The sequence below is a fragment of the Homo sapiens genome, chromosome 6, assembly GCF_000001405.40.
Source record: "Homo sapiens chromosome 6, GRCh38.p14 Primary Assembly".
In the NCBI taxonomy this organism is placed as follows: Eukaryota; Metazoa; Chordata; class Mammalia; order Primates; family Hominidae; genus Homo; species Homo sapiens.
Genome location: NC_000006.12, coordinates 55,984,890 through 55,994,645, shown reverse-complemented (window position 1 = coordinate 55,994,645; position 9,756 = coordinate 55,984,890).

Here is a 9,756-nt window from a genome sequence, read left to right as displayed (position 1 = left end):
TCATAAATCACCCAGTCACAGGTAGTTCTTTATAGCAGTGTAAGAATTAAATAATACAGAAAATTGGTACCTGGAGTGAGGTATTGATATAAAGTTATCTGAAAAACATGGAAGCAAATTTGGAACTGTGTAACGGGTGAGGTTGGAACAGTTTGGAGGGCTCTGAAGAAGACAGGAAGATGAGGAAAAGTTTAGAACATCCTAGAGAATTATTGAATGGTTTTGACCAAAATACTGATAGTAATATGGACAATGAAGTCAAGGCAGAGGGAGGGTCTCAGATGGAAATGAGGAACTTATTGGGAACTAGAGTAAAGATCACTCTTGCTATGCTTTAGCAAAGAGACTGGTGGCATTTTCCCCCTGCCCTAGAGATCTGTGGAACTTTTAATTTGAGGGAGATGATTTAGGGTATCTGGCAGAGGATATTTTTAAGCAGCAAAGCATTCAAGATGTAACCTGGCTGTTTCTAAAAACGTAAACTCATATGCATGAAAAAGAGATTATTCCAAACTGGAACTTATATGTAAAAGGGAAGCAGAACATAAAAGTTTGGAAAATTTGCAGGCTGATGGTGTAATAGAAAAGAAAATCCCATTTTCTGAGGAGAAATTCAAGACAGCTGCAGAAATTTGCATAAGTAAAGAGGAGCCAAATGTTAATAGCCAAGGTGAAAGGGAAAATGTCTCCAGGGCATTTCAGAGACCTTCACAGCAGCTCCTCCTATCACATGCCCAGATGCCTTGGAGGGAAAAATGATTTTATAGGCCAGGCCCAGGTCTCCTCTGCTCTCTTCAGACTTGGGACATGGCATACTGTGTCCTAGCTTCCCCAGCTCCAGCTGTGGCTAAAAGGGGACAAGATAGAGCTCAGGCTGTGGCTTCAGGGGGTGCAAACACTACATGGCTTCCATGTAGTGTTGGGTCTGCACGTACATAGAAGGCAAGAGTTGAGACTTTGGAACCTCTGCCTCAATTTCAGAGGATGTATGGAAATCTGTGGATGTCTAGGCAGAAGTCTGCTGCAGGAGTGGAGCCCTCATGGTGAACCGCTACTAGGGCAGTGTGGAGGAAAAAATGTGGGGCTGGAGCCTTCACACAGGGTCTCCACTGGGGCACTGCCTAGTGGGGCTGTGAGAAGAGGCCCATTGTGCTCCAGATTCCAGAATGTTAGATCCACTGACAGCTTGCACCATGCACCTGGAAAAGCCACAGTCACTCAATGCCAGACTGTGGAAGTTGCCATGGGGGCTGTACTCTGTAGAGCCACAGAGGCAGAACTATCCAAGGCCTTGGGAGTCCACCTTTTACATCAGTGTGCCTTGGATGTGAGACATGGAGTCAAAGGAGACTTCAGAGCTTTAAGATTTAATCACTGCCCAGCTGGATTTCAGACTTGCATGGGGCCTGTGGCCCCTTTGTTTTGGCCAATTTCTCTCTTTTGGAATGGAGGCATTTACCTGATGCCTGTACCTCCATTGTATCTTGGAAGTAATGAGCTTGTTTTTTATTTCACAGGCTTTTAGGCAGAAGGGACTTGCCTTGTTTCAGATGAGACTTTGGACTTGGACTTTTGGGTTAATGCTTGAATGAGTTAAGACTTTGGGGGACTGTTGGGAAAGCATGATTGTGTTTTGAAATGTGAGAAAGATATGAGATTTGGGAGGGGCCAGGGGAGAAATGGCATGGTTTGTCTCTGTGACTACTTCCCAAATCTAGAGGAACATATAAATTTTCAAATACAAGAAGGTTATAGAACAGTGATATAGTTTGTCTCTGTGTCTCCACCCAAATCTCATGTTGAATTGTAATTCCCAATGTTGTGGGAGGGACCTGGTGGGAGGAGATTGGATCATGGGGGTGGATTTCCCCTTTGCTGTTCTTATTATAGTCAGTGAGTTATCATGAGATCTGATAGTTTAAAAGTGTGTGGCACTTCCCTCTTCACTCTCTCTCTCTCTCTCCAGCTCTGCCATAGTAAGATGTGATTGCTTCCCTCTCACTTTCCACCATGATTATGTCTCCTGAGGCCTTCAAGCCATACTTTCTGTATAGCCTGCAGAACTATAAGTCAATTAAACATCTTTTTCTCACAAATTACCCAGACTCCAGTAGTTCTTTACAGCAATGTGAGAATGGACTAATACAAACAGCAAGCAGATTTAACCCAAAGAAGAATACCTCAAGACATTTAATAATCAAACTCCCAAAGGTCAAGATAAAGAAAGCATCCTAAAAGCAGCAAGATAAAAGAAACAAATAACATACAATGGAGCTTCAACACACCTGGTAGCAGACTTTTCAGTGCAAACCTCAAAGGCCAGGAGAGAGTGGCATGTCATATTCAAAGTGCTGATAAAAAAGCCCTTTTAATCCTAGAATAGTATATCCAGTGACAGTATCCTTCAAATGTGAAAGAAAAATAAAGACTTTCCCAGACAAGCAAAAGTTGAGGGATTTCATGAACACCAGACCAGTCCTACGAGAAATGCTAAATGGATTTCTTCAATCTGAACAAAAAGGATGTTAACAAACAAAAAGAAATCATATGAGAATAGAAAACGCACTGTTAATAATACATACATAGAAAAACAGAGAATATTATAACACTGTAATTGTGGTGTGTAAACTACTCATATCTTAAGTAGAAAGACTAAAAGATGAACTTATCAAAAATAATAACTACAACAACTTTTCAAGTCTGCACAAGATATAAACAGAAACAATAAAAAGCTAAAAAGCAGGGGGACAAAGTTAAAGTGTAGAGTTTTTATTACTTTTCTCCTTGATTGCTTGTTAGTCAGTTTGTTTATGCCATCAATGTTAAGTTGTCATCAGCTTAAAATAATTGGCTATAATAATTGCTGTTGTTTGCAAGCCTCTATCAATACACAAAAAATAAAAAAAAAAGAAATTAAAACATGCCACCAAAGGAAAAAACCTTCACTAGAAAGTAGATATGAAGGAAATAAGAGAGAAAAGACCACGAAAAAACCCCCAAAAAACCCCCACAAAATAATGGGGGCAAGTCTTTACTTACTAATAATAACATTGAGCCGGGCGCGGTGGCTCACGCCTGTAATCCCAGCACTTTGGGAGGCCGAGGCGGGCGGATCACGAGGTCAGGAGATCGAGACCATCCTGGCTAACACGGTGAAACCCCGTCTCTACTAAAAATACAAAAAATTAGCCAGGCGTGGTAGCGGGCGCCTGTAGTCCCAGCTACTGGGGAGGCTGAGGCAGGAGAATGGCGTGAACCCGGGAGGCGGAGCTTGCAGTGAGCCGAGATCGCGCCACTGCACTCCAGCCTGGGCGACAGAGCGAGACTCCGTCTCAAAAAAAAAAAAAAAAAAAAAAAAAAAAACATTGAATATAAATGGACTAAACTCTCCCATCAAAAGAAAAAGAGTGGCTGACTGAATAAACAACAAGACCCAGTGATCTTTTGCCTACAAAAAACACACTTTCTATCCTTTTATTTTCAGCCTACATGTACCTACAAAGATACACCCAGGCTGAAAATAAAAGAATAAAAAAAGATATGTCATGCCAATGGAAATCAAAAAAGAGAAGGAACAGGTATACTTATATCAGACAAAATCGATTTCAAGAAAAAAAGCTATAAGAAGAAACAAAGAAGGTCATTATGTAATGAAAAAGGGTTAATTCATCAACAGAATATAACAATTTTAAATAGATATGCGCCCAACACTAGGGCATCCTGATATATAAAGCAAATATTGTTAGAGCTAATGAGGGAGATATACTCTAATGCAATCATAGTTAGAAACTTCAAGATGCACTTTCAGCATTAGACAGCTCATCTGAATGTAAAATAAACAAATAAACATCAGACTTAACCTGCACTATAGCCCAAATGGACCTAAGACATATTTACAATACATTCATCCAATGCCTGCAGAATACACCTTCTTCTCCCCAGCATGTCAATCATTCTAAAGGTAGACCATATATTAGGCCATAAAACAAATCTTAAAACATTAAAAAAATTGAAATTATATCAAGTATCTTCTCTGACAACAACAGAATAAAAATAAATGAAAGAATCAATGACAGAAATCAATGAAAGAAGAATTTTAGAAACTATACAAACACATGGAAATTAAACAATATCCTCCTGAATGACTGGTGGGTCAATGAAGATATTAAGAAGGAACTTTAAAAATTTTCTGAAACAAATGATAATGGAAACACAACATATCAAAACCTATGGGAAACATCAAAAGCAGTACCAAAGGAAATTTTATAGCTATCAGCACCTACAGCAAAAGAGTAGAAAAACTTCAAATACACTACATAATGATGCATCTTAAAGGAATAGAAAATCAAGAGCAAACCGAGCCCCAAATTAGTAGAAGAAAATAAATAATAAAGATCAGACCAGAAATAAATGAAACTGAAGAAAACAATACAAATCATCAATGAAATAAAAAGTTTTTTGAAAAGCTAAACAAAGTTGACAAACCCTTAGCTAGACTAGTTAAGACAAAAAGAGAGAATACCTAAATAAATAAAATCAGAGATGAAAAAGAAGACATGACAACTAATGCCACAGAAATGCAAAGGATCATTGGAGGCTACTATAAGCAACTATATGACAACAATTGGGAAATCTAGAAGAAACAGAAAAATTCATAGACACATACAACCTGCCACGATTGAACCATGAAGAAATCCAAAAGCTGAACAGACCAATAACATGTAATGAGATTAAAGCCATAATAAAAAGTCTCCTTGCGGGGTGTGGGGGAAAGCCAAAGACCTGATGTCTTCACTGCTGAATTCTACCAAACATTTGAAGAAGAACGAACACCAATCCTACTCAAACTCTTCTGAAAAATAGAGGGACTACTTCTAAACTCATTCTATGAGGTCAGTGTTATCCTGATGCCAAAACCAGACAAAGACATATCAAAAAGAAAACTAGTGTTCTCTGATGAACATTGATGTAACAACCCTCAACAAAACATTGGCAAACCAAATTCAACAACACATTAAAGAGAACATTCATCATGACCAAGTAGGCTTTATCCCAGGTATTCAAGCATGGCTCAACATATGCAAATCAAATAATGCAACACATCATATCAACATAATGAAGGACAAAATCCATATGATCCAATTGATGCTGAAAAATATTTGCTAAAATTTGACATTCCTTTGTGATAAAACCTTCAAAAAATTGGATATAGAAGGAACATGCCTCAGCATAATAAAAGCCATATATGACAGACCAACAGCGAGTATCATAGTGGACAGGGAAAAATGGAAAGCCTTTCCTCTAAGATTTGAAATATGGCAGGGATGCCCACTTTCAGCAATATTATTCAACATAGTACTGGAAGTCCTAGCTAGGGCAATCATTCAAGAGAAAGAAATAAAGGGCATCCAAATTGGAAAGGAATAATTCAAATCACCTTTGTTTGTAGATGATATAATCTTATATTTGGAAAAACCTAAAGACTCCAGAAAAAAACTACTAGAATTGATAAACAAATTCAGTAAAATTCTAGGATACAAAATCAACATGCAAAAATCAGTAGCATTTCTAAATGCCAATAGCAAACAATCTGAAAAAGAAATCAAGAATATAATTGCTTTTACCATAGCTACAAATAAAATTAAATACCTAGAAATTAACTTAACCAAATAAGTAAAGGATCTCTACAATGAATATTTTGAAACATTGATTAAAGAAATTTAAGAGCACATGCAAAAAAATGAAAAGATATTCCATGTTCATGGGTTGGAAGAATAAATATTGTTAAAATGCTCATACTATCCCAAACCATACTATCCCAAACCATGTACAGATTCAATGCAATCTCTATCAAAATGCCAATGACATTCTTCACAGAAATAAAAAAAAAGCTATCCTAAAATTTATATGGAACCACAAAAGGCCCAGAATAGCCAAAGCTATCCTGAGCAAAAAGATCAAAAGTGGAGAAATCACATTACTTGACTTCAAATTATACTGTAGAGTGAAAGTAACCAAAACAGCATGATACTGGCATAGAAACAGACACATGGACCAAAAAAACAGAACAGAGAACGCAGAAACAAATCCATACATCTACAAAGACCTCATTTTCAATAATGGTGCCAATAACATACATTGGGGAAAGAAGAGTCTCTTCAAGAAATGGTGCTGGGAAAATCGGATATCTATATCCAGAGGAATGAAACTAGACCCCTGTCTCTTGCCACATATAAGAATTGAAACTAAATGGATTAAGGACTTAAATCTAAGTCCTCAAACTATGAGAGTACTTGCAGAAGATTTTGGGGAAACTCTCCAGGACATTGGAGTGGGCAAAGATTTCTTGAGTAATATACCACAAGCACAGGCACTCAAAGAAAAAATAGACAAATGGGATCATGTGAAGTTGAAAATCTTCTGCACAGCAAAGGAAACAATCAACAAAGTTAAGAGACAACCCATGGAATGGGAGATAAGATTTGCAAACTATCCAGCTGACAAGAGATTAATAACCAGAATATATAAGAAGCTCAAACAACCCAATTAAAAAATCCAATAATCCATTTTAAAAAATGGACAAAATATTTGAATAGACATTTCTCCAAAGAAGACATACAAATGGTAAACGGGTATATGAAAAGGTGCTAAGCATCATTGATCATTAGAGAAATGTAAATCACAACTACAATGACATATCTTCTCACCCCAGTCAAAATGGCTTTTATCCAAAGACAGGCAATAACAAATACTGCTGAGGTGTGGAGAAAAGGGGACCCTTGTACACCGTTGGTGGGAAAGTAAATTAGTATAACCACTATAGAGAATAGTTTGGATTTTTCTCAAAAAAACTAAAAGTGTAACTGTCATATGATCCAGCAATCCTACTGCTAGGTATCTCTCCAAAAGTAAGCACATCAGTATATTGAAGAGCTATCTGTACTCCCATATTTACTGTTGTACTATTCACAATAGCTAAGATTTTGAAGCAAGCTAAATGTCCATTAGCAGACAAATGGATAAAGAAAATGTGGTACATACACACAAGGGAGTACTATTCAGCCATAAAGAGAATGCAATCCTGTTATTTGCAACAACATGGAAGGAACTGGAGGTCATTATATCAAGCGAAATAAGCCAGGCACAGAAAAACAAACATTGCATGTTCTCTCTCATTTGTGAGAGCTAAAAATGGAAAGAACTGAGTTCATGGAGATAGAAAGTAGAATGATGGTTACCAGAGACTGGAAAAGATGACTGGGGGTTTGGGGGAAGTGGGGACGATCAATGGGTTCAAAAATATGAATGACTAAGGCCCAGTATTTGATAACATAACAGGGTGACTATATTCAATAATAAGTTAAATATACATTTAAAAGTAACTAAAGAGTATATTTGGAATGTTTCTAACACAAATAAATGACAAATGCTTGAGGTGATGGATACACAATTACCTTGATGTGATTGTTAGACAATGTATTCCTGTGTCAAATTATCCCATATACCTCATAAATACATATACCTCTTAAGTACCCACAAAATTAAAAATGAAAAAACATTTTGGATGTTATTCATTTCTGACATAAACGTTGTTTATGTTTTATTACTTGTTGAGCATTTTAATACATAAAAATGAATTCTATTCCCCACTATTTATATATTTACTTATATCCTTTAAGATTCCAAAAAAAGGATTTAATGCTGATTCCCCTGCTGCTTTATATTTTATATATATATGTTTGTATATGTGTATATATATAGATATATATGTGTATATATGTATATATAGATATATATATGTGTATATATATAGATATATATGTGTATATATGTATTTATATAGATATATATGTGTGTATATGTGTGTGTGTGTGTAAATTTGTGATTTTTAGTGGAAGGTCAATTTGGAAGTTACTGGCTATAGGCAGAGTTGTTCTAATGGCCTCTGATAATCAGAATATGTTACTCACCACAATGAACATCTTTAATGTGTTTTAATTTCCATGAATCCTAAGAGGTAACTCTTAGTGTTTGAGATAGTTTAAGATACAGAGAGGCTGTTAGTCTGAGGATGTCCTGTGTCTCATAAGGTGGAATGGCATGTGCTAATGCAAAAACATTTTCTTATTACTACAGGTGTTATCACCCCATATTTTGTTTCATAGGGTGGTAACTTTGCTCTTTTAAAGCATGCCCTCCATACTTTACCTTGGAATGCTTCTTACCATGCTCACAGAAAACTGAAGTTACACTGCTATAGTCTTTAAGATCCCAGAACGCAGATTAATCAAGTCAGAGAACCAAGCTGGTGTTTTCTATTGTCTTTATCTCTCCTTTCCTCCCTCTAACTGATATGCAGTGCATGTCTAATGGCTGTCAGGGCCTGTGCAAAGCACCGACAATATTCGGTTTGAAAAAATAGAAATATTTTCTGCCCTCATACAGTTTACAAATAATAGGACAAAGTAGGCATTAATCACAGAATCACATGAGCATCTGATCAGAACCTGAGACAAATACTATGAAAATACAGCTCAAGCTTCCCTAAGAGTAGAAGGATCTGACTTTCCAAGAGGCAAGGTGTGGCCAAGGGATAGATGGTCTTCCTCGGGAAGGTGATGTTTGTCTGAGACAGGAAGTATGAAAGGGAGGTCAATAGGGGTGTAGAATGGAATGGAGTGGCCATTTAGAGGTGTAGGGAATATTCCGGAGAAATTTCTAGGTAAAGAGTAGCATGTGTAATAGCTCTGGGGATTGAGGGAGGCATAATATAGGCTCTTAAGTGAGCTAGTGAGCCCCAATGCAGACAGTGAGGGAAAGGTAGAGGAAGCGTTCCTTAGGGAAGAACCTGAGAGGCATGGAGAAATGGACAAGAGACAGCACTGCATGTTGGAGGCTGGGGAAGTGGAGAGAAAATGTGCATGGATGTAGTGGGGAAATGGTTGTCTAGTGGGAACTGTACCCACTTTTCAATTTTGCCTAAGGACAGCCTTCCCTTACACCTATGCAGTTTTCTGCTTAAGAGTTTATACATCCTCCCACAAACCCATAACCTCAGATTAATCATGAGAAAAACATCAGACAAACCCAAACTGTGGCAGATTTTACAAAATACCTGACAACTACTTCTCAAAACTGTCAAGGTCATCAAAACCATGTAAAATCTGAGACACTCAGAGCCCAGAAGCACATGACAAATAAATGTAATGTGGTATCCTGGACAAGATCCTGGAACAGAACAGGACATTAGATAAAAACTAAGGAAATCTGAATAAAGTATGGACTTTACTTAGTAATATCAATTTAGGATCTTTAATCGTAACAAATATATGATACTATTGCAAGGTGTTAATAATAGGGAAAACTGAGTGTAGCGTATGTGAGAACTCTCTGTACAATCTTGCACTTTTCTGTAAATCTACAATTATTCTAAAATAAAAAGTTTATAAAGAAAAGTTCTCGTAATTCAGAAAATGAATTTTGAGGGTTTCTGAGCGCCAGCAGCCCAAATCCCCAAACTATATGATATGATTTGGTTCTGTGTCCCCACCCAAATCTCATCTCAAATTGTAATCTCCATAATCCCCATGTGTTCAGGGAAGGACATGGTGGGAGGTGATTGGATCATAAGGAGCAGTTTCCCTCATGCTGTTCTCATGATAGTGAGTGAGTTCTCATGAGATCTGACGGTTTTATAAGTGTTTGACAGTTCTTCCTTGACATTCTCTCTCTTGCCTGCTGCCATGTAAGATGTGC